Source organism: Homo sapiens, chromosome 19, assembly GCF_000001405.40.
Source record: "Homo sapiens chromosome 19, GRCh38.p14 Primary Assembly".
Lineage (NCBI taxonomy): Eukaryota > Metazoa > Chordata > Mammalia > Primates > Hominidae > Homo > Homo sapiens.
The window spans coordinates 39,137,048-39,164,176 of NC_000019.10; the positions used below are offsets into that span (position 1 = coordinate 39,137,048).

At 53.3% G+C, this 27,129-nt stretch overlaps 1 protein-coding gene and 1 long non-coding RNA gene across 12 annotated transcripts in view, besides 7 other annotated features; one reads left to right on the forward strand and one right to left on the reverse strand.

The window, feature by feature from the left end:
* Positions 1-27,129, forward strand: part of PAK4 (p21 (RAC1) activated kinase 4) — a 57,031-nt gene that overhangs the window by 11,262 nt on the left and 18,640 nt on the right. For 4 of the 11 annotated variants that reach the window (XM_047438034.1, XM_024451314.2, XM_011526317.3 and 1 more), the window contains exon 1: positions 19,602-19,803. The exons of the other annotated variants lie outside the window; for them this stretch is intronic. The gene's annotated coding sequence lies outside the window, so the exon portion shown is untranslated. Of the gene's footprint in view, positions 1-19,601; positions 19,804-27,129 lie in introns of those variants that run through there. 11 annotated transcript variants of the gene reach the window in all.
* Positions 1,990-2,579: an enhancer, noted in NCBI's record as "H3K27ac-H3K4me1 hESC enhancer chr19:39629677-39630266 (GRCh37/hg19 assembly coordinates)". NCBI's record gives its function as "activates a minimal SCP1, AML or CMV promoter by ChIP-STARR-seq in naive H9 embryonic stem cells {active_cell/tissue: H9 hESC(naive)}" and the evidence as "EXISTENCE:reporter gene assay evidence [ECO:0000049][PMID:30033119]".
* Positions 7,043-8,039: an enhancer, noted in NCBI's record as "H3K27ac-H3K4me1 hESC enhancer chr19:39634730-39635726 (GRCh37/hg19 assembly coordinates)". NCBI's record gives its function as "activates a minimal SCP1, AML or CMV promoter by ChIP-STARR-seq in primed H9 embryonic stem cells {active_cell/tissue: H9 hESC(primed)}" and the evidence as "EXISTENCE:reporter gene assay evidence [ECO:0000049][PMID:30033119]".
* Positions 8,040-9,034: an enhancer, noted in NCBI's record as "H3K27ac-H3K4me1 hESC enhancer chr19:39635727-39636721 (GRCh37/hg19 assembly coordinates)". NCBI's record gives its function as "activates a minimal SCP1, AML or CMV promoter by ChIP-STARR-seq in primed H9 embryonic stem cells {active_cell/tissue: H9 hESC(primed)}" and the evidence as "EXISTENCE:reporter gene assay evidence [ECO:0000049][PMID:30033119]".
* Positions 13,392-13,893: an enhancer, noted in NCBI's record as "H3K4me1 hESC enhancer chr19:39641079-39641580 (GRCh37/hg19 assembly coordinates)". NCBI's record gives its function as "activates a minimal SCP1, AML or CMV promoter by ChIP-STARR-seq in primed H9 embryonic stem cells {active_cell/tissue: H9 hESC(primed)}" and the evidence as "EXISTENCE:reporter gene assay evidence [ECO:0000049][PMID:30033119]".
* Positions 15,336-19,504, reverse strand: LOC124904716 (uncharacterized). Its single transcript, XR_007067255.1, has 2 exons — positions 19,304-19,504; positions 15,336-17,506 (listed from the first exon to the last, which is right to left on the reverse strand). It is a non-coding gene; the product is annotated as an uncharacterized LOC124904716 (long non-coding RNA).
* Positions 19,372-20,037: an enhancer, noted in NCBI's record as "H3K27ac-H3K4me1 hESC enhancer chr19:39647059-39647724 (GRCh37/hg19 assembly coordinates)". NCBI's record gives its function as "activates a minimal SCP1, AML or CMV promoter by ChIP-STARR-seq in naive H9 embryonic stem cells {active_cell/tissue: H9 hESC(naive)}" and the evidence as "EXISTENCE:reporter gene assay evidence [ECO:0000049][PMID:30033119]".
* Positions 20,704-21,369: an enhancer, noted in NCBI's record as "H3K27ac-H3K4me1 hESC enhancer chr19:39648391-39649056 (GRCh37/hg19 assembly coordinates)". NCBI's record gives its function as "activates a minimal SCP1, AML or CMV promoter by ChIP-STARR-seq in primed H9 embryonic stem cells {active_cell/tissue: H9 hESC(primed)}" and the evidence as "EXISTENCE:reporter gene assay evidence [ECO:0000049][PMID:30033119]".
* Positions 21,370-22,033: an enhancer, noted in NCBI's record as "H3K27ac-H3K4me1 hESC enhancer chr19:39649057-39649720 (GRCh37/hg19 assembly coordinates)". NCBI's record gives its function as "activates a minimal SCP1, AML or CMV promoter by ChIP-STARR-seq in primed H9 embryonic stem cells {active_cell/tissue: H9 hESC(primed)}" and the evidence as "EXISTENCE:reporter gene assay evidence [ECO:0000049][PMID:30033119]".

The following is a 27,129-nucleotide window of genomic DNA, read 5'->3' on the forward strand; positions in this document are numbered from 1 at the left end:
AGTGTCTTCCTCTCTAGAAGGTGGCTGCTTCAGGTGTTCCTGGACATTCCTGAAGTTCTGCTCCTAACACACTTATCCTGGTGCCTGATACATAAATATAAATGTGATTGTTTATTTTTTTCCAACAAATTTGGTGGAGTGCTGACCCGTGTGGCCTCCAGGGATGCGGTGGTGGATAAACAGACCCGGTTGCCGCCCATTTGGAGCCTGGCCTCTGGAGCCATCTGGGGCACCCCTGCTTGGAGGCAGGAGAAGGCCTGGTGTGACCTTGGGCCCGGGGAGTCCTTATTCTAGATCCGGGAAGCTCTTCAGGGTGATGAATAGGAAAGACGAATGGAGGGTTTGTGCGTGCCGGCCCTGTGTCCCGGCCAGTGCTCCCAAGCTGCTGCCTGGGCCTCCCTGAAATCCCAGGAGGTAGCTGCACCCGTGTGACCCATTTCACAGATTGGGAGGTGAGGGGGGCACCAATGCTAAGTCCTTCGCCCATTTTGCAAACTAGAGTAGATCTGGTGGTGTTTCCTCTGTGGTCTGATGTGTTTTTCTGGTAGCCAGTCAGGTGGGGCAGCTTTCAATTTGTTCTTCCAGACTCCTGTGAAGGAAGGGCCAGTTCAGGTCACTTTCCTTTTTTTTTTTTTTTGAGACAGAGTCTCACTCTGTCACCCAGGCTGGAGTGCAGTGGCACGATCTTGGCTCACTACAACCTCCGCCTGCCGGGTTCAAGCGATTCTCCTGCCTCAGCCTCCGGAGTAGCTGGGACTACAGTCGTGCGCCACCATGCCTGGCTAATTTTTTGTGTTTTTAATAGAGATGAGGCTTTGCCGTGTTAGCCAGGATGGTCTCGATCTCCTGACCTTGTGATCCGCCCACCTTGGCCTCCCAAAGTGCTGGGATTACAGGCGGGAGCCACTGTGCCTAGTGTCTTAGCCATTCCTGAGGTTTTTTTTTTTTTTTTGAGACAGGGTCTTGCTCTGTCACCCAAGCTGGAGTGCAGTGGTTCAAGATTGGCTCACTGCAGCCTCCACCTCCTGGGTTCAAGCAATTCTCTTTCCTCAGCCTCAGTAGCTGGGACTGCAGGTACACGCCACCACCCTGGGCTAATGGGCTAATTTTTTTTATTTTTAGTAGAGGTGGGGTTTCACTATGTTGGCCATCCTGTTCTCAAACTTTTTTTTGTTGTTGTATTTTTATAGAGATGGGATTTCACCATGTTGCCCAGGCTAGTCTCAAACTCCTGAGCTCAAGCCAGCTGCCCGCCTCAGCCTTCCAAAGTGCTGGGATTACAGGCATGAGCCACTGTAATGGGCATCCAGCCCATTCTTGACTTTTTGTAATTCCCTTTAAATATTAGACAAGCATGTTGTCAGTGTATGTACGTGTGCTCGTGCGCACACACCTGACACTGAGTCTCCCAATCCATGAACGTGGTATGTCTCTCCATTTGTTTATGTCTTCTCGTTCATACTTTTCCAGCCGACGCCTTGCCCACCTCTTGTGGGGTTTTTCCCAGGGTAGTTCATGATGTGGCAGGGAGTCTGTGCCCTCCACTCCCACAAGATGCCGTGCACCCTGGGTTTAGCCTTGCTGGCTGAGGACCTCATGGCGGTGGCAGGAGGCCACTTCTCCCATTCTCTGCTTCTTCCCTGGTACCGCCCCTGGACCCTGGCGGAGGGCGGGCAGGGTGCCCAGAAAGGAGGCTGTAATTTTCCTGAATGATTTCAAGGGCTAATTAAAGGTTTGCCTTGACTAATCAGCTTACGGTTTAATTATTAGGGAACAGGCTCTGGGATGCGGGAAGCAGCTCAGCTGGGGTCTCCCCACAGCGTGGCAGGAAGGAGCCAGGACCCAGCCCTACTCTGGGGGGCTGGCAGGATATGGGGATACCCCAGCACCCTCCAGTGGGTCAGTGGGGGGTTCTCCATCCCCCACTGAGCTGTGACAGGTGGAGGGCAGCAGGTGTGATGGAGATTACAGCCGATTCCTCCCCTGATTCACATCATCCCCCACAGCCCATGGCTGGCTGGGGAGGGGCTGGCCCTGTCCCTCCAGCAGCTTTGGCAGGGCCCGTCCCTCCCCACTTTCCTGCAGCACCCCAGCCTCGCTGGCCTTTGTGGAGTGCTCGGACTTCATTTATTCTGTGGGTCTTGGCTTAAAGGTCAGCACCTCTGGGAAGCCTCCTCGGGCCTCCCTCCTGTCAGAGCTGGTGATCAGCCGCACGGCCCCTTGCCAGTTCTTGGGATCATGGTTGTTCATCTGCTGCAACTCCTGCAGACACTGAGAAGTACACTGAGGGGGATGCCTGAGCTGGGCCAGTGTCGGGGTACCCAGCGGGATAAAGGGTTCGGGACCTGGGCTCCAAGGAGGGGGCTGGGAAGGGGTGTTCAGGGAGGACTGAGTGATGGCTTGGAGGCGGCTGGACCAGGAACACCTCATGGGAGTTTGCGAATGGGGAGGGGACTCTGGAGATGGCTGTGCCAGGCCTGACTTCATTCCTTGCATTCCTCAGCAGGCCCCAGACTCCTGATGGTCCTAAGTGGGGGAAGGTGAGCCAGAGAGGGCCTTCTGGGTACTGCCCTCCCCCCACTCCATCAGTCTGTCTCAGTCTCTCTTTACACCCTCCCCCATCCAGGTCTCAGGGCTGGATCCATCCTCCTGCCCACTCCCCAATCTCCTTATCCTTTGGCTGCGCCTTAGGGTCACCCGGGGTGGGAGGCACTGCAGGGGCCCAAGCTGGACCATTTGAAGCTGACTGTACAGCTGTGGGGTCTGGGCCTTGGGGTTTTTTAATGCTCCCCTGGCGACTCTGACATGCTTCTGAGCTGGAGTGAGGGCTGCTGGCCTGCAGGAATGGCAACAAATGTGTTTTAGCTTTTGGCATGTTCTGGGTGCTTTTCTAGGCTTCTGACATGGAGGGGTTAAGTCACGGCACGCTACGGGGACATGTGACTGTGATTCCTGTGTTCCAGATAAGGCAACTGAGGCCCAGAGAAGGCCTCGAGCTTGGCGATGGCAGTCTCTGTCACTGTCTTATCTTCCCATTTCTGGTCTGTCCAGATGTCTGTCTGGGCCTTCTCTGTTTCACCTCTGTCTCTCTCCCTGTTTTTCTGCCTCTTATCTCCCTTCCCCACCCCACCCTCCTGCATTTCAGCTTCCCTCCTCCCCTGGCAGAAACTTCCCAGATTTCTGTGTTTTGAGGCAGGATCTGGCTGAAGCCACAGAGGGGAGATGGGTTCTGCAGGCCCAGGACATCCTTCTGAGGGGAAGGATGCTGATGTCACCACGCTGGCCTCCCTAACAGCTCCTGACACGTGGAGTCTGGGGCTGGGGGCAACACACCATCTGACTGACAGTCCAAGGGTGGCTAGGGCTGGCTCTGCAAGTTTGCAGGGAGGACTGTCCCCACGGGTTGACTCTGACATGCCCTGTGACACCAGCCACCTCTACGGTCCCGGGAGTCCTCTACTGCCAGTTAATGTTTCAGCTTTTGTGGGTAGGACTGCCTGTCGGTCAGTAGTTTAATTGCAACAAAGGTTTGTGCTAGAAAGGCGAATATTACATTGCAAGAGCCTTTATTATTTGATGGGACTAGGGGGGACTGATAGCTGATGGTCCCGTATGTCCCCACTCACTGAGGGATGAGGGCTCCCCTTGCCTCCTCTCCCCCTACCCCTCTCCAGCGAAGGGCTCAGGAGTCCAGCTCCACCTGCAGCCTCTCCCTGCTCCGGCACAGCATCCTCTGACCTTGGGCGAGGCCCTGAGCCTCAGATGTTTTTGAGTTCCCACATCTGGAGCAGGAGGATAATGATTCCTGCTGCCTCCCAGGGTTGCTGGGAGGATGAAGTGAGTCTGCTGTGTGATGCTCAGAACAGGGCCACTGTCATTATGCCATTCTGGTTACTAGTACTCTTATTACCATTACACTTATTAGAGAGGCAGGATCCGTGCTTGGATTTAGTAGTTAGGATTCACAGGGTGAGTGATCCATAATTCTTTGCCATTACGATGAGGTCACATTTCCTTTGGTAAAATGTTGAACACCTTTGTATTATGGAAATGTTCACACATACCCAGAAGAATAGTCTCGCGCCCTCCTGGGGTCCCTGTCAGCAGCTCAGCAGGTAGCAGCTGTGGCCAGGCCTTGTCGCCTGTGCCTGCTCCTCACCTCCCTGCTTATTTCAGAGCAAATCCCAAACGTCGTACAGCCAGAAATATTCCACACTTTTCCAGAACAAGCCTGCCTCAGTCTCCTCATGCTTCCCCAGTTGTCTTATAATCCTTTTTTTTTTTTTGAGACAGAGTCTCACTCTGTCACCCAGGCTGGAGTGCAGTGGTGCGATCTTGGCTCACTGCAACCTCCGCCTCCTGGGTTCAAGTGATTCTCCTGCCTCAGCCTCCCGAGTAGCTGGGACTACAGGCGTGTGCCATGATGCCCGGCTAATTTTTGTATTTTTAGTAGAGATGGAGTCTCACCATATTGATCAGGCTGGTCTTGAAGTCCTGACCTCAAGTGATATAACCATCTCAGCCTCCCAAAGTGCTGGAATTATAGGCGTGAGCCACCGTACCCTGCCATAATCCTTTTTCATTTGTTTTTTGTTGTTGTTGTTTGAGACAGAGTCTCACTCTGTCTCCCAGGCTGGAGTGCGGTGGCACGATCTCGGCTCACTGCAACCTCCGCCTCCCAGGTTCAAGCACTTCTCCCTGCCTCAGCCTCCCGAGTAGCTGGGATTACAGGCGCCCGCCACCACGCCTGGCTAAGTTTTGTATTTTTTAGTAGAGACAGAGTTTCCTAGGCTGGTCTCGAACTCCTGACCTCAAGTGATCCACCCGCCTCGGCCTCCCAAAATGTTGGGATTATAGGCGTGAGCCACGGCGCCCGGCCCATTTGTTTGATTTGGGTCTGGACAAGGTCTACACTTTGCATCCGGTTGATAGGCCTCTTTTTTTTGTTTTGTTTTGTTCCCTTTGTTACCCAGGCTGAAGTGCAGTGGAGCGATCAGAGCTCACGTGCAGCCTTGACCTCCCCTGCTCAAGCAATCCTCCCGCCTCAGTCTCCTGAATAGCTGGGACCACAGGTGTGCGCCGTCATGCTCAGATACTGGCATCAGCTCTTTGGCGTGCATGTTGTCGTAGTTTTTCTACAGGCGACCTAGGCCATTTGTCCTGGAGTTTTGCAGTCTGGGGCCAGCTGATACATCCTTGTGGTGTCATTGCACGTGTTCTCTGTCTCTGTGCTTCCTGTAAGTTAGGACTTAGGTCTAGAAGCTCGATCTGATGCAGGTTCAGTTTCTTCTGGCAAGCACGCTTTCTTAGGTGGTTGCTTGGATGAGCATCAGAATTACTTACATGTCTGTATGACTGTCAAGTTCAGTTTTCAAGTAAAAATTAAGTTTTTTTTAAAAAAGCGAGTGGGTTGAGAAGAACACTCTGAAGTCACTCCTAGTAAGGCTGGTACCCAGATCCAGCAGAAGTAGGGTGGGAGGGACCAAAGGACTGAGGCTCGGGTCCCCCCTTCCCCACCCCCCGGGGCCTGGGAGCAATAGGCTGGGTGCCCCGGCTTCAAGTAAACCAGTGGCATTAACATGTGGGCCTCTGGTTCCTGCTTTGCTAGGGCCACAGGCTTCCAGCTGAGAGCTGCTGCCACCCACCCTGGCAACCCCTTCCGCATCGCGTGGTGGTGACACCTTCAGAACAGAGTGGTCTCCCACCCCAGCTCTACCCTTGGCTGCCTGTGTCACCCTGGGTGGCTTTCCCAGCCTCTCTACCTGCTTCCTTCTTGACAGCCTGATGGTGGCCATACGTCCCTTGGGCTGTGGTGACTGGGCCTCTGGGAGCTGCCCTTCCACTTCTGCATTTTAACATAAACCTCCTTGACCTCAGCTGCTCCATTCTCTGCTCCCTTCCAGCCACTCGGATTCCAGTCCTGGGGGCCTCCTCACTGACCATGCCCTCCACCCTCAGTGCTGTTCCCTGGTACTCTGCATGGCTTCCTCACCTGTATCCCGTCTTTGCTCAGACGCCACCCCTTTAGAGACCTCCCTGACTGTGCCCTCTGAAAGAGCACCTTGTCACTCTCTGTCCCTTCTCCCACTTGTTTACTTGTATATTGTGTTCCCACTAGAATGTCAACTCCAGGAGAGCAGAGACTCTTGTCTTATTCACTGCTGTGTCCCTGGTGCCTAGAACAGTGCCTGGCACCTGCTAAGTGCATATTAAGGAGTCGTTGCTCACTGGGTAGAAGCATTAAAAAAAAAAAAAAAAAAAGGCTGGGTGTGGTGGCTCACGCCTGTAATCCCAGCACTTTGGGAGGCAAAGGTGGGTGGATCACCTGAGGTCAGGAGTTCGAGACGAGCCTGGCCAACACAGTGAAACCCCGTCTCTACTAAAAATACAAAAAAATTAGCTTGGCGAGGTGGCAGGTGCCTGTAATCCCAGCTACTTGGGAGGCTGAGGCAGGAGAATCGCTGGAACCCAGGAGGCGGAGGTTGCAGTGAGCCAAGATCACACCAATGCACTCCAGCCTGGGTGACAGAGCAAGACTCTGTCTCAAAAAAAAAAAAAAAAAAAAAAAAAAAAAAAGAATTGTTGAGTGCATGAATGAATAAAAGAAAGAAAATGACTGGGCACAGTGGCTCACATCCCAGCACTCTGGGAGGCTGAGGTGGGCAGATCACTTGAGCCCAGGAGTTTGAGACCAGCCTGGGCTATAGTGAGACCTCTGCTCTACAAAACATTTTTAAAATTATTGTTTTAAAATAATTTAAAAATTATTTAAAATGTAAAAGGGCGTGGTGGCATGTGCCTGTGGTCCTAGCTACTCAGGAGGCTGAGGTGGGAGGATTGCTTGAGCCCAGGAGTTGGAGGCTGCAGTGAGCTATGATGGGGTCCTAGCTACTCAGGAGGCTGAGGTGGGAGGATTGCTTGAGCCCAGGAGTTGGAGGCTGCAGTGAGCTCTGATTGCACCACTACACTCCAGCCTGGGTGACAGAGCAAAACCTATGATGATAGATAGATAGATAGATAAGATAGAGCGAGCAAGACCCTATCTCAGGTAGATAGATAGATAGATAGATAGACAGACAGACAGACAGACAGACAGATAGATAGATAGATAGATTAGATTAGATAGATAGATAGATAGATAGATAGATATGGTTAAGTGAGTGGACTTTGGTCCTGGTCAGACTTGCCACGGAATCCCAGTTCTGATACACTCGCCGTGTGACTGAGGGCTGACATGTCTTCTCTCTGAGCTTCACTCTCCTGCTTCACACACCGTGTGAACGGCACCCTCCTCGCTGCCTTCTTTTGCACCAGGATGGAGCCTGCACGTAACACTTTGTAGTGGTCTCACTGCTGTCCTGTCTCCAGCACGGGGCACCGATGAGCCAGCCAGAAGCCGTCCCTGCCGGGGGGATGCTTGACCCAAATCTTCAGTAATAACTCCTTCCACTCTGGGTGACCAGCTGTGGTGCCCCAGGGCAGGGACTTGTTGATCTGGGTTTGTTCTGGAGGCCAGAAGGGTTTCCTGGGGACTGGGATTGGAGCAGGATTGAGAGTGCCTGGTATGTGGAGAGACCTGGCTGTTGTGGCATGAGTCCGAGGGCTCAGGGGCCGGCTGCTTCCCGGCCTTTGTCTTCCTTGCAGGAAACAGGCCAGGAGTTACAAGGGGCCAGAGGATGCTGCTGTGGTTATGGTGGAAGTTAACAGCTTTGGGAAGTGTGCATGTGTGTGAGTGTGTGTGTGTGTGCACTTGTGCTCATTGTAAAGAGAGACGGTAAAGAAATGAGGAGAGACTGCAGGCACATGCAAATACAGAGAAAGCTTTCAGTTGTCAGGATCGCTCTCCCGGTTTTTCCTGCATGGTGGTGTAAAATCTGACATGTGTACAGAAAAGTGTGTAAAACCTCCATGTTCAGTTTAATGAATAATTATAAAGCAAACAGCCATGAAACTACCACCCAGATCAAGAAGACAGGCATCACCAGCTCCCTGAAAGCCCTCTCCTTCACCTGCCCTTCCCAGTGCTAACAAAAACATTCTCCTCCCTTTCTTTTCATTGTTCCTCTTTTTTGGTGAATTGTGAAAGATTTCAGACACCCCCAAGAGAAGAGAGAATCACCTGCTGACCACCCTCAGGCCCGCTGCCCAGCTAAAAGACGAAATGCTTGCTGTGGGTGCAGCCCCCAGGTGCCTCCCCCAGGGCCCCAGGCGTCGCTGGCCCTGCGTCTGCTTCCCTAAACAGTGTCCCGCATTGTTCTGCAGGATTTTAAACTGCGTGTAAATGGTACGAGGCCAGCGGCACTTGGCTGCAACTCTCTCAATATTTTGTTCTTGAGATTTCTCTGGGTGGAGTAATGAAGCTCTGTGCCAGAAGGAATGGTTCCCAGCGGGGGTCAGGGCACCCCTACCCCTGGCCAGAGGAAAGCAGCTCTGTCCTGGGGGGGCCCCAGGAGGACGCTCTGGGCTCCTCTCACCCAGGCCCGCAGCCCCCTGCTCCACGTGGGTTTGAGGCGGCCACCTCCAGTGGAAGTGGTAGAGCGCCGTTGGCTTCCTAGGGCACCACATAGGACCCAGTTACAGCCGTGATGTGAAGGGGCCCTCCCTGAGCTTATGTAAGGTGTAATGGGGCGCTGGTGCCGCCTGGGGCCTGTGTGCACCACGGAGGGGCCTTCTCTGGAGGAGGGCATAGATCAGCAGCTGGGGCAGGAGGGCCTCTTCTCTTCCCATACTGCCCTCCCCCTGCGCCCGCCCACTGCCCACCCTCACCCGCCCTGTTTGCCAGGCTCACACAGCCTTTCTTGGAGAGGCCCTCTGGCGGGGAGTTTACTCTCAAAGGCTCTATATCTAGCTGACCTGGGATTGCCACCCAGCTCCGCCACCTTCTAGCTGGACGGCCCTGGGCATGTGTTGACCCCTGCCCCACCTCTGTTGGCCTCAGTTTCCCCATTTGTAAAATGGAATTGTGTGAGGGTTATTTCATCCATGCAAAGCCTTCGTAGAAGCTAGTGTGTGGAAGCCTCTTAATGAGCCTTAGCTGTTAGTATCTTTGTCATGCTTGCCATTCATTCACTCATTTTTGTTGATAGTAACTTTTTGCCTCCTCTGAGTCCAGCCCTGTCAGGCTGAGGTCCTGCCTTCATGGAGCTTATAATACAGTGAGGGAGACAGACATGGTACTAGGCAGTGACAAACCAGAGTGACCTTGGAAAGCACAGGCCAGAGTGTGACAGCTGTGATGGGAGAAGACCCAGAGGACTGTGGGAGGCCCTGGCTCCAGCCTAGGAAATCAAGGAAGGCCTCCTGGAGGAGGAGACTTCAGAGCTGAGGCCTGAAAGAGGAGCAGGGTTAGTTTGCGGAACATTGTCCCAAGGAGAGCAAATAGCATGTTCAAAGGCTAAAAGTTGGGAAAGGGTCTGGCATTTTAAATAAACCATTACTATTTTTAAGAAAACTTTAAATTCTGAGATCATTGTAGATTCTCCTACAGTTGTAAGAAGTAACTCAGAATGGCCAGGCGCAGTGGCTCACGCCTGTAATTCCACCCCATTTGGGGAGGCCAAGGCAGGAGGATCGTTTGTGCCTAGGAGTTCGAGATCAGCCTGGGCAACCTGGGGAGACACCATCTCTTCACAAAATAGAAAAGCTTATCTGGCTGTGATGCTGTGCACCTGGAGTCCCAGCTACTTGGGAGGCCGAGGTGGATCACTTGAGCCTGGGAGGTTGAAGCTGCTGTGAGCTGTTAATGGCACCACTGCACTCCAGCCTGGGCAACAGAATTAAGGCTCTGTTGCAAAAGAAAGAGAGAAAGAGAGAGAGGGAGAAAGGGAGAGAGGGAGGGAGGGAGAGGGGGGAAGGAAGGAAGGAGAGAAGGAGAGAGGGAGAAAAGAAAAGAAAAGAAAGAAATAATACAGAGAGGAGGTCTGGCGCACCTTTACCCAGTTTTCCCCAATGGTAACACCTGCGAGACTGTAGTACCAGATACCAGAGTGTCAACTGACATTGACACTGTCATTGTCAATTGACAATTGTCATTGTCAATTGTCAATGACAATGTCATTGACATTGACATTGTCAGTCACAAGGATCCCTCCTAATACCTTCTCATAGCTACACCCTTCCCCTGCCCATCCCTAACCTCTGGCAACCACTCATCTGTCTATTCCCCCATTGTTAGGATTTTGTCAATTCAAGAATGTTATGTAAATGGAGCCACCCAGTATGCACCCTTTTTGCATTGACTTTATCCCCTCAGCATGATTCTCTGGAGGTGCATCCGCATTGTGGTGCTGATAGTGACTACTGAGTAGTATTCCGTGGTCTGGATGCCCCACCGTTTGTTTAACCATTTCCCGTTGGAGGACATCTGGGTTTTTCTAATTTTTTGGCTATTACAGACAAAGCCACTATAAACCTCGACAAAGAGGGTTTCGTGTGAATGTCAGTTTTTGTTTCTCTGGGGCCAATACCCAGAGGTACAATTGCTGGGCAGCGTGCTGGTTGCATGTTTTAAGAAAACCATCAAAACCATTTTCTAGAGTGGCTGTACCATGTTATATTATCACCAGCAGCAGGTTCCCCACATCCTCACCAGCATTTGGTGTTGTCACTATTTTTTATTTTAGCTCTTCTAATAAGTGTGCAGTGATAACTCATTGTGGCTTTAATTTGCATTTCTCTAATGGTAATGATGTTGATTAGCTTTTCACGTGCTTATCTGCCATCTGTGTATCCTCTTCAGTCAAAGGTCTCTTCATGTCTTCTGCTCATTTTCTTATTGGATTGTTTGTTTTCGGGTTTTTTTTTTTTTTTTTTTTTTTTGCTGTTGAGTTTTGAGTTTTCACTGTTGTTCTTTTTTTTTTTCTTAGCCCCACCAGGTTCTCATATGAGATCTTTATCTATTCTCTCTCTTTTTTTTTTTTTTTTAGATGGAGTCTCACTCTGTCGCCCAGGCTGGAGTACAGTGGTGTGATCTCGGTTCACTGTGGCCTCCGCCTCCCGGGTTCGAGCGATTTTTCTGCCTCAGCCTCCCGAGTAGCTGGGATTACAGGCATGTGCCACCACGTCCAGCTAATTTTTGTATGTTTAGTAGAGACGGGGTTTCACCATGTTGGCCAGGCTGGTCTCGAACTCCTGACCTCAGGTGATCCGCCTGCCTCGGCCTCCCAAAGTGCTGGGATTACAGGCGTGAGCCACCGTGCCTGGCGAGATCTTTATTCTACATACTAGTCTTTTGTCAGATACGTGGTTTGCAAATATTCTCTCCCAGTTTGTAGCATGTCTTTTAATACTTTTCATACGGACTTTTGCAGAGCAAAAGTTTTTAATTTTGTATTAATTTTTTTCTTTTATGGATTGTGCATTTGCTGTCAAGTCTCAGAACCCTGTGCCCTGTCTTAGGTACCAAATAAGTTTCTTCTGCTTTTTTTTTTTTTTTTTTTTTGAGAGAGAGTCTCGCTCTGTTGCCCAGGCTGGAGTGGGCTCACTGCAGCCTCTGCCTCCTGGGTTCAAGTGATGCTTCTGCTTCAGCCTCCCAAGTAGCTGGGACTAGGGAGGCGCCCACCACCATGCCTGGCTAATTTTTGTGTTTTTAGTAGGCACAGGATTTCACCATATTGGCCAAGCTGGTCTTGAACTCCTGACCTCGTGATCCGCCTGCCTCAGCCTCCCAAAGTGCTGGGATTACAGGCGTGAGCCACCACACCCTGCCTGCTTTTTTTTTTTCCATAAAAGTTTGATAGTTTTACATTTAAGTCTGTGATCCATTATGAGTTAATTTTTGTACAAAGTATAAGTTTTGGATTAAACTTCTTTTTTTCCCCCGTTTGGCATGTGGATGTCCAGTTGTTCCAGCCAGCATTTGTTGAAAATGCTGTCTTTCCTCTGTTGAATTGCTTAGGCTTCTTTCACAAGAATCAGTTACCACGATGAGATACTACATCACACCTACTAGGATGGCTGCTGTCAAAAAAACAAAAATAACAAGTGTTGGGAGGATGTGGGGAAATTGGAGCCCCGTGCATTGCTTGTGAGAATGTAAAATGGTGCTGTCGCTGTTCGGCATAGAATTACCTTGTGACCCAGCAATTCCGCTCCCAACTGTTCGTCCAAAAGAATTGAAAGCAGGGACTCGAACAGATATTTGTACACCCAGGCTCATCACAGCATTATTCACAAGAGCTAAAAGGTGGAAACAGCTCCGTGTCCATCAGTGGATGAATGGAGGAACAAAAGATGGTATACATGATGGAATATTATTCAGCCATAAAAAGGAATGGAATTTTGGGTAGAAAGCTATCATGTGGATGGTCTTGAAAACATTATGCTTAGTGAAATCAGCCAGACACAGAAGGAGAAATCCTCTATGATTCCACTTGTACGAAGGACCTAGAGTAGGCAAATACAAAGAGACAGAAAGCATGCATGGAGTCCCAGCTATTCGGGGGCAGGAGGATCACCTGAGCCTAAGAGGTTGAGTTCAGCCTGGACAACATAGTGAGACCCGGTCTCTTTTAAAATATATGTATATAGGCCAGGCGCGGTGGCTCACGCCTGTAATCCCAGCACTTTGGGAGGCCGAGGCTGGCAGATCAAGAGGTCAGGAGATCGAGACCATCCTGGCTAACACGATGAAACCCTGTCTCTACTAAAAATATAAAAAATTAGCTGGGCGTGGTGGTGGGCGCCTGTAGTCCCAGCTACATGGAAGGCTGAGGCATGAGAATGGCTAGAACCCGGGAGGCGGAGGTTGCAGTGAGCTGAGATTGCACCATTGCACTCCAGCCCAGGCAACAGAGAGAGACTCTGTCTCTAAATAAATAAATAATAAAATATATGTTTATGTATATATAGAGAGAAAGAAAGTAGAACAGAGGTTATCAGGGTTTGAGGGGAACAAGGAGCTGTTGTTTATTGGGTACATAGTTTTTGTTGGAATGATAAACATGTTTGAATATAGATGGTGGTGATGGTTATACAACATTGTGGATATATTTAATGCCACTGAATTGTATACTTACAGATGGTTAACAATGATAAATATGCTGTATATTTTACCATAATAAAAATAAATTTTTGAAACCAGCTAGGTATGTTGGTGTAGATCTGTTTCTGAGTTCTCTGTCCTGTTCCGCTGCTCTGTTGCTGTGACTGTCCCACCCCATCTGGGTTACTTGCTGCAGCGCTGGGAGAGGGATTCCTCTGGCTTCCTCTCTCTTTTCTCTTTTTCAAGATTGAGCTCTTGAAAAAAGAGCTCTGGGAGCTGGCATTTTGGAGCTCCTCTAGGGTTCCGCGTGTAGAAGATGGCACTGTGTTGGGCCTAGGTTCAGAGTCGTCCTTGACACCACCTCATCCTCAGCCCGTGTCTGACTCATCAGCGAGCATTGCCTTTTCTTGGTAGACATAGCCCAGGTCTGTCCCCCTCTCTCCACTGCCACTGTCCTGGCTGCCTCACAGTTGCCCAAACAGCGCTGCCTCCTTGTCACTCATCCTCACGCCCACTCAGGCCCCTTGATTCCGTCCTTCACAGGGCAACCAAAGTTACATCTGTAAAACCCAGGCCTGGACCAGGTGGAGTGGCTCCCACCTGTAATCCCAGCACTTGGGGAGGCCGAGGTGGGCAGATGGCTTGAGCTCAGGAGTTCAAGACCAGCCTGGACAACGTAGTGAGACCTTGTCTCTAAAAAAAATAAATTAATAAAAATTAAAAAAATGTAAAAACCCAGGCCTGTCCTTGGCACCCACGTTGTCTCCCCTTGCTCTCTCATGATCTGCCTCCACCACACCGTCCCCGTTCAGGCCTGCTGCCCACCCATCCCTCCAGCCAGTGTGTGTCCGCTGGACTTTCACATTTTTTGCGTGTGGTGCTTGACTATAAGCCTGATGGGGTAGGGCCCACACTGCACTTCTGCCCCCGCACAGGCGGCACGTGACAGACGTGCATTAGATTTCTGTCGGTGGACGCCATGAACGTGGGAAGGAGGCTGCCTGTGGCCGGAGCAGGTGGTTGGGGGCGGAGAGTGTGCAAAAATGAGGACAGAGAGGTGGGCGCGACCTCGGTGAGGAGACGGCTTTAGCTCTGTGGGCCTGAGTAGGTTTTTAGCAGGAGAGGATACAATCAGATTAGATTTACAAAGGTCTCCCTGACCTAGCAGAAAAAGGCAAAGGCTTTGAATAGACACTTAGCGGAAGAGGACATTCTGATGGCTTTTATAAATATGAAAAATGCTCAACCCTACTAAATAGAAAAATACAAATGAAAACTAGGCTGAGGGGGGCCACACCTCACATATCAGCAGAGATCAGAGAGACTGGCCACGCCCCGTGCTGCAAGGCCGAGGGGAGATAGGCCCTGGCACCGCCGAGGGGCTGTGAGTGGGGACAGGCCTCACGCAGGGCCACTTGGCAGTGGTGAACTTCACTGGACATTTACCCACAGACAAACTTGCACACCTGTGAAATGACAGCTGCACACAGTGAGTGTTGCCGCACCATTTATAAGAGCAAAAGACAGGAAACCACCACTCTGGCCCGATGGGGACTGGCTCCAGACATCACGGTCCTTCCACACAGCTGCCAAAGCAGCAAGGCAGTGCTCTGCCAAGATCAAGGCAGGGAAAGATCACCAAGACCCACATATATATGCAGCATGTCTGTGGTTTCAGTTACCTGTGACCAACCATGGCCCAAAAGTACATGGAAAATTCCAGAAATAACCAATTCATATGTTTTATTTATTTATTTTTTTGAGATGGACTCTCTGTCACCCAGGCTGGAGTGCAGTGGCACCATCTCAGTTCACTGCAACCTCCGCTTCCTGGTTTCAAGCGATTCTCCCACCTCAGCCTCCCAAGTAGCTGGGATTACAGGCATGCGCCACCACGCGCAGCTAATTTTTGTATTTTTAGTAGAGACAAGGTTTCACCATGTTGGCCAGGCTGGTCTCAAACTCCTGACCTCAAGGAATCCACCCAAAGTGCTGGGATTACAGGCATGAGCCACTGCGCCGGCCCAACAGCTCATACATTTTAAATTGTGCACCATTCTGAGTTATCGTGATTTTTTTTTTTTTTGTAGAGACGAGGTCTCCCTATATTGCTCAGCTGGTCTCGAACTCCTGGGCTCAAATGATCCTCCTGCTTCAGCCTCCCAAAGTGCTGAGATTACAGGCAGGAGCCACTGCACAGCCTCGTGATGAAATCTTGAGCCATCCCACTCTGTCCCGCCCGGGACGTGAATCACCTTTCTTACCCCACATATCCATGGTGTATGTGCTACCCATCTGTGGCTACTCAGTAGCTTTCTCGGTTCTCACATCCACTGTTGCCGTATCACAGTGCTTATGTTCAGGTAGCCTTTATTTCACTTAACATTGTCCCCAAAGTGCAAGAGTAGCGATGCTGGCAATTTGGATATGCCAAAGAGAAGCTGTAAAGTGCTTCCTTTAAGTGAAAAAGGGGAAAGTATTGAACCTAATAAGGAAAAGAAAAAAAATTGTATGCTAAGGTTACTAAGCTTTACAGTAAGAACGAACCTTCTATCCATGAAATTGCGAAGAAGGGAAAGAATTTGTGCTGGGTTTACTGTCACACCTCAAACTGCGAAAGTCAACAGCCACAGGGCATAAGGGCTTGGTTAAGATGAAAAAGGCATTACGTTTGGGGGGGTGGAAGACAGGAACAGAAACGTGTTCCAACTGATGGCAATCGGGTTCAATGTTATCCACAGTTTCAGGCATCCCATTGGGGGTCTTGGAACATACGCCTTGCAGATAAGGGGAACTGCTGTATATATAGTTGGCCCTGGGTATCATGGGCCCTCAGGATCACGGGTTCTGCACCCACCCATTCAACCAACGAAGGACTGAAAATTTACTATGGAGGGCCAGCTTTTCCATCCGCGGTTATGGAGGGCTGACTGAGGGACGTGAGCATCCCTGGATGTGGTACCTCCTGCGGGGGTTCTGGAGCCAATCTCCCTCAGCTACCGAGGGAGAATTGTATAGATATATCAATTTTTTTCTTTCAAATCATAATTATAAATTGTTAGGATACACAGTGAAAATTGCATAAAACATAAATGTATAGCAAAACCAATTACTATAAAGGGAAAAATCTATGTAGCCACCCCTCCAGGTGAAGAAACAGATGGTGCCAGCCTCCCCCAACCCCCAAAAGCTCCCAGTCCCTCCCTTCCCCCAGAAGCATCCACTCTTTTTAATTTTAATTTTTTTTGAGACAGAGTCCCACTCCATCACCCAGGCTGAAGTGCAGTGGCACAATCTCAGCTTACTGCAACCTCCACCTTCTGGGTTCAAGCAATTCTCGTACCTCAGCCTCCCGAGTAGCTGGAATTACAGGCATGTGCCACCACACCCGGCTAATTTTTGTGTTTTGTTGTTGTTGTTTTATTTTTTTGAAACAGAGTCTCACTCTGTCACCCAGGCTGGAGTGCAGCGGCACCATCTCGGCTCACTGCAACCTTCGCCTCCCAGGTTCAAGTGATTCTCCTGCCTCAGCCTCCCGAGTAGCTGGGATTACAGGCGCCTACCGCCACGCCACGCCAATTTTTATATTTTTAGTAGAGACGGAGCTTCACCATGTTGGTCAGGCTGGTCTTGATCTCCTGACCTCAGGCGATCCACTCGCCTTGGCCTCTCAAAGTGCAGGGATTACAGGTGTGAACCACCCCACCTGGCCTTAATTTTAATTCTCTAAAAATGTAGAGATGGGGTTTCACAATGTTGGCCAGGCTGGTCTCGAACTCCTGGCCTCAAGTAATCCTCCCGCCTCGGCATCCCAAAGTGCTGGGATTACAGGCATGAGCCACCGTGCCCAGTCCAACTCTCCTGACTTTTGAGGCCATCATATGCTTGCTTTTCTCTCTGTTTGCCACCTCTGTATGCAGCCTGAAGCAGTTTCCTTTTGCCTGGCTTTGAACCTTAAAGTCCGAGGATGGAGTATTGTTCGATGTTTTTGCCTCTTCTGTGTGGCGTCTTCTTTGATGCTCATCCACATGTAGCTGTAGTCATTCATTCATTCATTCTCCCTATCATGTGCGGTGCCATGGAGCCTTCATTCACCACCTCCTGGGGACGAGCATTTGTCTTGTTTCTAGTCTCTTCTCGCGTGTGCTCCCTGCCCCATGGGCCTGCGTTATGCTGGAGTGTGTACCCAGGAGAGCTCTTGCTAGGTCAAGCGTGTGTCCCCACTTCCACTCGATGCTGCTAAGCTCCTGCCAAATGCCAGCAGCGTGGGAGAGCCACGGAATGTTTTCGAGAAGAGCAAAGTACAGAATATTGTGTGTCATGTGGCTGCCATTTCTCTTGTTTTTTTAAAAAGCAGGTAATCATGTGTGTACCCATACACACACGTAGGATCTCTCAGAAAGGAAAAGAAAAAACCTGAAAGTCTAGTAGCGGTTGCCTCCAGGGCTGAGCTGGGCCAGGGTGGAAGGAGGACATCCTGTCACAGTTTACCCTTTGGTGCCTTTTGTCTTTTGAACCGTGTGCCTGTATTACAAAGACAGAGAGAAGGAAAAGAAGGAAAAGGGGTAGATGAGTGTAAATGTGGTAAAGTGAGAATCACTGAGAATCGCCCAGTGCAGCTCCCTCTCCGTCCATTGGGGACCTCGTTTCCTGTGGCTGTCCAGAGCTGTCCAATCCCCATCCACTCCCCGCCAGAGCCCAAACCTGCCCGTCTGGTTTGCAGAGCTGCCCCACGTGGCTCCTCTGCGGGTGGTTACTCGACAAATGCCCCACCCCCCACCCCATGGGGAGGCAGTGGCCTGAGATCTGGGACTTCTGGATCTAGGCCCCTAGACCTGCCCTGCTGTGGTCCAGAGCCTGGCCCAGCCCCTCCTTGGACTTCCTCCTCACTGTGACAGGGGGTGGACAGAGGTGGGGATGGGAGTTCCAGGCCCTGAGAGCAAGCGCTGGCCTCCCAGCCCACGTTCTGTGTGTGGAGATAACATCTGCCCTTGAGGAGTTGGCTGCAGGGGCAGGGGTGTGCCAGAGCAGGGTAGTGGGAAGGACCCAGGTGCGTCTGTCTGCTGTGTGCCGGGGCGCTTGCTCACTGTTGTCCCTGGATTCACCATGGCCTGGGTGCCCATCCTGGGTCCGGGCACCCAGCAGCCTTGGTCCCTACCGCCTACCAGACTGGAGTCCCTGGTAGAGCCCCTCTAGGGTGTCAACTCCCGTGGGCAGGAAGTTTTGTGGAGTTTGTTCAGTGCTGAACTATCAGGGCCTCCCACAGGTGTGCCTGGTATGTGCCTGGAGCTCAGTGAATGAATGAGAGGCGGGCAAGCTGCAGACAGTGACAGCCTGGGTGCTCAGGGCTGGCATGGGGAGGTGCAGGGTGGAGTGCACAGGGCTGGAGCCCAGAGGATACCTGACCCAGCCTGGGGTGGCAGGGAGGGCTTCGTGGAGGAGCAGGTGCCTCAAGTGGGGCCGGAGGGTGAGAAGGGATGAACCAAGCAGCCCTCCGGAGGCCTCGAGGGGAACAGACAGTGTTCACAGGAGAAACAGTTACACCTGCGAGCTCTGCCTCGGGCCAGCCTTTGCACTGGAGGTGGGATTTGAAGGGGAGGGAGGGGTGCTGTGGAGCATCTTTTTCTTCTGTTCCTGAACGGGGGTTCTGATCACATCAGCCTCATGCTTGGAGCAGCTGGTTAAGGGCACAGACACCGGGACAGACATCCAGCCTGGGAGTCCCAGCGCCTGACCTCCCCTCGGGCATCAAGTCACTCCGCCTCTCCGCGCCTCAGTTTCCTCCATGATGAAAGGGGCCTGCTGAAGGACCTGTCTCATTTAGGGCAGCAGTGAGGCAAAGCCCCGGAGCCCATGCCTGTGCCAAGAGCAGGGCCTGGCCCAGAATATGGCCTTGTCACGTTGAGCTGCCTTTTTTCAGCAGGGTTAGTTTCATCCTGGTGAGGCGGCGCCAGCATGGCGTTCCACCTTCTTGGCCTCCTCTCCCTCCTCCCTTTCCTGCCATCCACACCTCCCGGCCCTATTCTCACACCTCAGGATGGCGATATGGGGGCTTCACCGTGGTCTCCCCTGACCTCGCCCCTCCCCCGGTCAGGCTAAGTCTCAGATTCCTCCTCATGGGTGAGGGGGGCAGAGTGGCCCCTTTCCTCCAGCCCATGCTGGGCACTTGCTAGAATCCCAGCCTTGGTCGGGGTGGAGGAGAAGCAAGTTCCAGCTCTCCAGTTCTGCCTCCATATCAGAGAGCCCACCCACCCCTCTCCCCAGGGCTCTATCCTGCACCTAGTGGCCCCTGTCACTCCCCAGCCACCCCCACGTACATACCCTGGTCCCTTGTTTCAAACCTGGCTGCCCCTTAGCCGCCTGGCCAGCCGCTTGCAGGTACTCAGCCTTGCTGTGTAGTCACCCCCTCCAGCCCCTGGCACCTAGCCTGGCATAGGGGGGTGAGGCGGGGTGTGCCTGTTGGTGGGAGGCTGACCCTGCTGAAGCAAAGGCTGTGGTTGGGGTCCCCGCCCAGCCCTGCCCTCTGTCCAGGCAGCTATGAGCCACGTGGCCCAGGCCCACCCACCCCAGCTCCAGGCCCAGCCCCGCCTCCCTCCCGCCCTCCGTGGGTGGAAACCACAGCCGAGGCTCAACTCCTGGCCGCGTCACCACCGCTGCCCTGCAGGCTGGAGCATAGAGCCCAGGCAGCCCTCCTCGGTGGGTGCCCATGTTGAGGGCCTGGGGAGCCCTGGATCTACTCTGCTTTCCCAGCTGGAAGCCTGTCTGTCCACAGGCCCGCCCCATTGAGGGTGGCCCAGGAAGTGGGAAAGAGCGTGGTGGAGGTGAGCTGGCCAGGCCTCGGGAGGGGAGGGGGAGGGCTAGACTGGCTGCCAGGGAAGGAGGGTCTGCCCCTGGCCACTGGAGCCAGTGTGAGCATGTGCGAAGGCCACACCTTTCTTGGGGTTGGAGCGGGGTCACTGTGTTTCCATGTGTGCGAGATGGCAGGTGCCTGTCTGCTGGGGACTTGCAGGCATCTGAGCATAGGTCCCTGAGCCTCTCTGTGGGAGCACGCTCCTGGGGTCTGGCTTGCACGAGGGCAGAAGTTTCCGTGAGACTGTGCCTCACTCAGTCACTCTGGGTGACCCTGGAGTTGACTGGGTGTGCCTAGGTCCATGGAGGTCTCCTTGCCTACTGTGTGTGGTTTTGGGGTCGGGGGGGTGCCTCCTAGTGTAGCTTTGTATCTTGGGGGTTATTCCTAGGTGCGTGTGTGTCCTGGGGTGCAGTGCGGCTTTCCCTCGAAGTCATGGAGTGTCTGCGGCATTGTGTGTATACACACGTGTCCCTGTGTATCTATGTGTGGATCTCTTTGGGAGTCTCTGCATCTCTGGGTGCACGAGTCTTTGCAGTGTGTATGAAAGGGTCGCAGTCCACGGTCCATCCATGGCTCTTCTGGGGCCCATGTGCAGGCTGGCTGAGCCGCGGCCTTCCCATTTGCTGCGCATGTACTCTGAGCCAGGCTGGCTTTAAGAGCCGCTCCCCCACCTTCTCCCACTGAAGTCTCAGAAGCTCCCTCTGGGGCACGCTCTGCTGGTGCCCCATATTCTAGAGACATGAACGGAGGCTCTTGGTAAATGTCCTTTTCCCCTGCCCCACGGCAAGCAAGGCACTGACCCCTGGCCACCAGCCTCCTGAGCCCATGGTCCTGTACGGGCCGCCGCGAGGTGCTCAGGATGTTGTAGGGTTGAGGGTGGATTGCTGCTGTTGCCGGCTAGCCGGGAAGTTTTCTTTTTTTGGCCTAAGATAAATATTGGAGAAGAATGGCCCGGGAGCTTTCCATGTGACCAGTTCATGTGCCTGGAGGCCTGTGGTTTGTGTGGCTGGGTATGTATCTGCATGTCTGTGTGATGGTCTTAGGACTCGGCTCTATGTGGTGTCAGCTGCGGACATCTTGCATGCTCTGGCATGTCCTCACATGCATCTGTGTCTAGGGATCATGCATGTGTGTATGCATGTGTGTGAGTGTGCATGTATGTGAGCATGTATTTGTGAGCGTGTGTGTGAGCATGCATGTGTGTGTGTGCATGTGTGTGCATGCATGTGAGCATTGTGTGAGTGCGTGCGTGCATGTGTGAGCGTGCGTGTGTGCACATGTGTGCATGTTTGTGAGTGTGCATGTGTGTGAGCGTGCATGTATGTGCATGTGTGGGTGTGCGTGTGTGTGCATGTGTGTGCGCGCATGTGTGAGCATGCATGTGTTGCGGGATGGCTTCGCTCGCTGCTGTGTGTTGGGTCTGTGAGGAGAGGCCGTGGTTGCTGCCTGGTGTATGTCCTGGCGTCTGTGCACGGCCTTGTGTGTTGCATGGCAGGGGAGGTAGACAGTGAGAGGGCTTGGGTGCTGGAGCCTGAGAGGGGCAGGGCCTCTTTCCTGCCACATCACCCCCTTCCCCCTGCCCAGCCTCAGGCGAGGAATAAATGACGTCTGCTCTGATTTCCCAGGCCGTATGGGCTCCCACACACTCTCTGTTGTGGTGTCCATCCCCACCCTGAGTACCTCTGGGGGGTGAAGGGCACCAGCAGTGCCCTTTGTGTCTGTGCCCTTTTGTGCTGGGCCAGATTCGGGGCAGGAGGGCTTGGCCCTGGCATCACTGGGGGCTCTGAGCGCCAGCCTGGGCCTAGCTGGGTAAAGGAAGCATCATCTCTTCGTTGAGCCACACTCTCTGCGCTGGGCAAGCCTGGGGACACAGAGATGGCCCCAGGCCCTGCCCTCCTGGGTCTCCCAGTCCAGTGGGAGAGGCAGACCTGTTATCAGACAATAACAGCCCATCAGGCTCCTCCCTCCCAACCCTGGAGAAGGTAAGACTAGCATATTTGCTCGGCAGAAGGGACCATGCCCGGCATCCTCTGTAGTGTGTTTGTTCATTCATTCATTCATCATTCAGCAGCAAGAATGGCAGTAATGATAACAGCAGCGAGCCTGCAGTGAGGCCCCACTCGGCACCAGTCACTGTTGTAAATGTTTTACATGTGTCGTCTTATTCGCTCGTCCAACATGCTCAGGAGGTAGGGACTATCACTACCCCCAGTTTGCAGATGAGGACACTGAGGCCCAGAGAGGTTGAGTCACTTGTCCAGGGGCACACAGCTTGGAGTAGTAGAGCCAGTACCTGGGACTGGGCAGTCGGCTCTTAACCACCAGTACAGGCCTGCTGAGCCCCTGTACTGCGCCAGGCCTCTGCTGAGGACAAAGCAGTGGCTAGGAGAGACAGGCCCTGTCCTCGTGGGGCTGCCCGTTCATTGCAGGAGACATACTAATTAAGGACTATAAGGACAAAGGTAAAATTACAGCTGTGACAGATGCTGTCAAGGGGAAGGCACGGGACATGCAGGGTTTTTTTCAGACAGAGTCTCACTCTGTCGCCCAGGCTGGAGTGCAGTGGCGTGATCTTGACTCACTGCAACCTCCGCCCCCTGGGTTCAAGTGATTCTCGTGCCTCAGCCTCCCAAGTAGCTGGGACTAGAGGCACATGCCACCACGCCCAGCTAATTTTTGTATTTTTTTAGTAGGGATGGGGTTTTGCCATGTTGGCCAGGCTGGTCTCGAACTCCTGACATCAGGTGATCCACCTGCCTCGGCCTCCCAAAGTGCTGGGATTACAGGCATGAGCCACTGTGCCCGGCCATGGACCTGCAGTTTGAAGGAAGAGGAAGGGATAACAAGGTGAAGGTTGAGGGGGCAGGGGGCTCTTCAGGACCCAGGCTAAGGGCACAGTCCATGCAGAGGCCTGGTGGCGGGGACGGCGCTATACCTGGAGGAACGAAGGAGAGCAGGGCTGCCCCCTCCACCCTCCACAGACGCTGCTGAATCCAGGCCCCACTTCCAAAGGCGTCCCCCCCACTGGATCTGTGTCTTTATGGGCTTTTACCCATTGTGGGGGCTCATGGATTTCCAGAGGCACCCCCCATGTGATTTGGCTTTTGCCAGGATACGCTGCCACTTCCTGAGATTCCCAGCGTAGGCCATGTGGCTGGGTGGGCCCCCCTGCAGTGGGGAGGGCCTGGGCGTTCACAGTGGGGGTACCTTTTGTGGTGCTGGGACACACACCAGCTTACTTGCTGAACAGCCAGATTCAGTCTCTGAAGACCCATTTTCTCCCCAGGCGTCAAGGTCAGACTTCCAGGGAGTGAGTGTACGAGGCCCAGGGACTTGTGTCTGTCTCGGCCCCATCCCCGTGCCCTGCGCCTCCTCAGGGACCAGGCTCATTACTTTGGTAATGGCATCACCCATTTGTTCCACAGATATGTCTCGAGCACCTACTGTGTTCCAGCCACTGCTCTAGATGCCGGCAAGAACCAGACAGACAGACAGGTCCCTGCCCTCAGGGCACTGACATTCTGCTGGGGGCACTGCCAGTCAGTAGGTGTAGGATGCCAGGGGGTGGTAAGTGCCACAGAGACATAAAAAGCGAGGTGCACATTTTGTTCAGGGGTCAGGCAGCCTCTCGGAGGAGGTTTTATTTGCACTAAGACCTGAATATCAAGAAAGGCTGAGCAGTGCAGTTCTGGCTGAGGGAAGATAGGTGCAGAGGCCCGGAGGCTGGAACAGCTGTGATGAGTCCAAGACATACACGGAGGCAGCCAGCGCGGCTGGAGAGAAGCGAGGGGAGGAGATGAGGTTTGCGAGGTTGGCAGGGCCCTCCCAGTCAGGGCCGTGTTGAATCAGTGTTTGAGCCAAAGTGGGAAGCCCTGTAGAACTGTGTGTGTACATTTGTGTAATGTCTTCAGATTCCCTTCTAACCACGGTGGCTTTTCTGGTCTTGGTCTGGTCATTGTCAGGGACATTGTCCCTTCCTGTTTTTGTCCCATAAACCTCCAAGGTCCTTTCTTTAGAGTGGAGGCCTTGGCTGGAGCCGGGACCACTGGGGAACAGGAGGCTGGGGGATGTTGACTTGCCTTCTCTGTGGGACAGAGTGGCTGCTTTTGTGACCTGGCACTGGATAGCCCTGGGCAGTGAGTTCCCCTCTCGGCCTCAGTTTCCTGGTTTGGGGAACAGGAAGGAAGAGGACTCCCCACCCAGCACCCAGCACTGTTTAGAGGGCTCCGCGTGGCCTGGTCTGTGTGCCTGGCACAGCCTGGGCAAGTCCACAGCCACGAAGGGGAGCCCTTGTGAGTCCACGCCCTGCTGTAGGCACTGAAATGCAGCCATCATGAACCAAAACGCGGTCCCTGTCCATATGAGTCACTGACTTAGCGAGGAAGATGGCCACAGACAGGCAAACAACTGTAATGTGTGAGGCAACGCTGAGGGCCCTGGAGGGAACGGACCTAGGCTGACTGCGCCAGGCTCCGCGCCAGGTGCTGGGGGTGCCACATGGAGCAAGACCAGGCCAAGCCCCTGCCTATGAGCTCACGCTGCAGCCCTCGGCCAGTCCTGCCACCTCCACCTTTACAGTGTGCCCAGAACCTGCTCATGCCGCCCCCTCTGCAGCCCCCACAAGGTCCTGCCCCCTTGATTTCCACTGGGCCATCACAGCCTCCTCCTCCCTGGTCCCCCTTTCCGTTCTGCCCCCACAGACTGTTCCCAGCCAGTGGGAGCCTGTGAACTCCTGAGTCAGGCGGTGGCCCTCCTGGGCTCAGAGACCCCTGCAACTCCGTCTCACTCGGGAAAGGACCAGGCCCTCCCGGTGGCCCCCAAAGCCCCACACGATCTGCCCCATTACCTCCTTGGCCTGTCCTTCCACTTGCCCCCTCGCCCACCCTGCTCCAGCCACGTGGCCTCCTCGCTGTCCCTTGACCATATCAAGCAAATTCCTACCGCCCTGGCTGTTCCTTCCTCCTGGGCTGCCCTTCCTCCAGAGCCCTACATGGCTCCCTCTCCCCTCCTCACGCAGGTCCCTGCTCACGTGTCCCCTTCTCAGCAAGGCCTGCCTGACCACTTTATTTTATAATAATAGTTATTATTATTATTTTGAGATGGAGTCTCACACTCTGTCGCCCAGGCTGGAGTGCAATGGTGCGATCTTGGCTCGCTGCAACTTCCACCTCCCAGGTTCAAGCGATTCTCCTGCCTCAGCCTCCCAAGTAGCTGGGACTACAGGCGCCTGCCACCACGCCAGGCTAATTTTTTGTATTTTTAGTGGAGATGGGATTTCACCATGTTGGCCAGGCTGGTCTCCAACTTCTGACCTCAAGTGATCTGCCTGCCTTGGCCTCCAAAAGTTCTGGGATTACAGGCATAAGCCACTGCACCCAGCCTGTTATTCTTATTTTTGAGACAAGGTCTCACCCTGTCACCTAGGCTGGAGTGCAGTGGCACGATCACTCACTGCAGCCTCGACCTCCCAGGCTCGGGTGATTCTCCCGCCTCAGCCTCCTCAGTAGCTGGGACCACAGGCGCACACCACCACACCTGGCTAAATTTTTATTTATTTTTTATTTTTGGGGTAGAGACAGGGTCTCACTAGGTTGCCCAAGCTGATCTTGAACTCCTGGGCTCAAGCGATCCTCCCTCCTTGGCCTCCCAAAGTGCTGGGATTACAGGCGTGAACCACCGTGCCCGGCCTTGACCACTTTATTGAGAATTCCAGCCTCCCCTCCCCTCAGCTCCTTTCTGATTGCTGCGTTATTTTCTATGTCAGCATTTCTCACCCGACTTAGTAGATGTTTTTCTGATTTATCTCATACATTGACTGCCTCCTTCCTTCTAGAATGTGAGTGCTGCGAGGACAGGGATGTTTCTGACTGTTGGGTGCACTGCTATGGGCCCCAGGCCCAGCAGAGTCAGCCCTTGGTAGACATGGACGGGTGCGTGGGTCGATGCGTGGGTGGGTGTGATCGGGTCACTTGTGGGTGGAGTAGGTGTTTGCTAAGGCAGACTCTGGGGATGTGTCGGTCCCAAACCTGAGGACTCCTTGGAGGAACGAGGCTCAGTGTGGGAGGCCTGAAGAGAGATGTGGTTAGAGGAGGGTTGGGGGCCGTGCAGGATGGGGGCAAGAGCTAAGCCAAGGTTTGGAGGCAGGAATGGCTTGGGGGACTCAGGACAGCGAGGAGCCTGCTGTGCCGGGACGGGAAGCCAAACTCCCAGCGCCTCCACCATCAAAGCACATGCCAGAAGGTAGGAGGTAAACTGAGGCAGGGAGGGGCCCTCCCAGAGCTGGTAGGTGAAGATTGTGGCAGGGTGGTGAGTGGGACCCAATGGTGGAAGGCTGAGTGCAGGCTGGAGGCAGTGAGCGGTCTGGGTCCCCTTCCTGATTCGAGTTTCATTTTGGTAACGATGAAAGGATGCCTGTGGTCCTGGCCACCTCCCCTGCTCTGCCCCTGGGCCCCTGTGTTCTGGGTGGGCCAGCCCCCTCCCTTCCAGGGGCAGCAGCTTTGATCAGAGCCTGGAGGGGGCGGGGCAGGAGGTAAGGGTTTTTGCACGCTCACGTCTGCTGACACTGACAGCTTTGTCGCACGGTGGATCTTGCTTTTCCATTTGGGCCAGTTAACCTTGTGGGGGAGAATGGGGGTGGTGGGACCCTTTTCCTCCCAGAAAAGGTCAGAGGATGCAGGGGGTGACTGGAAAATCTGAAGTGTCTGCTAGGCCAGGTCAACGCTGCCTGTCCCGCATGTTAAAGAATTCAAAAGATTTTTTAAAATTTGAAATAAACATTTTAGAGTAGGATACAAAATGCGCTTGCATTTCTGGGATCAAATACTGGACTTCAGAGGCATCTGTGCCCCGGCTGGGGCAGAAGGCTGCACCTTCCTGCTGCTCTGGGACTACTGCCCCCAGGTCCCAGCTGCTTATCTGAAAGATTTCCCGGGTGCTGCTGGGCCTTGTCCAAGGCCTCTGAGCAGGGGAATAATGCAGCGGACAGGGACGATCATTCCACGGAGTCCCTACTGTGTGCTGCCCTGGGCTACGAGGGGGTAAGACAGAGGACAGTCCCTGCCCTGTGAAGCTGACACATTCTAAGGGAGAGGCAGATGCTAAAGAATTACACATATGGCTGGGCCCGGTGGCTCACGCCTGTAATCCCAACACTTTGGGAGGCTGAGGCAGGTGGATCACCTGAGGTGAGGAGTTCAAGACCAGCCTGGCCAACATGGTAAAACCCCATCTCTACTAAGAATACATAAATTAGCCGGGTATGGTGGCGGACGCCTGTAATCCCAGCTTCTTGGGAGGC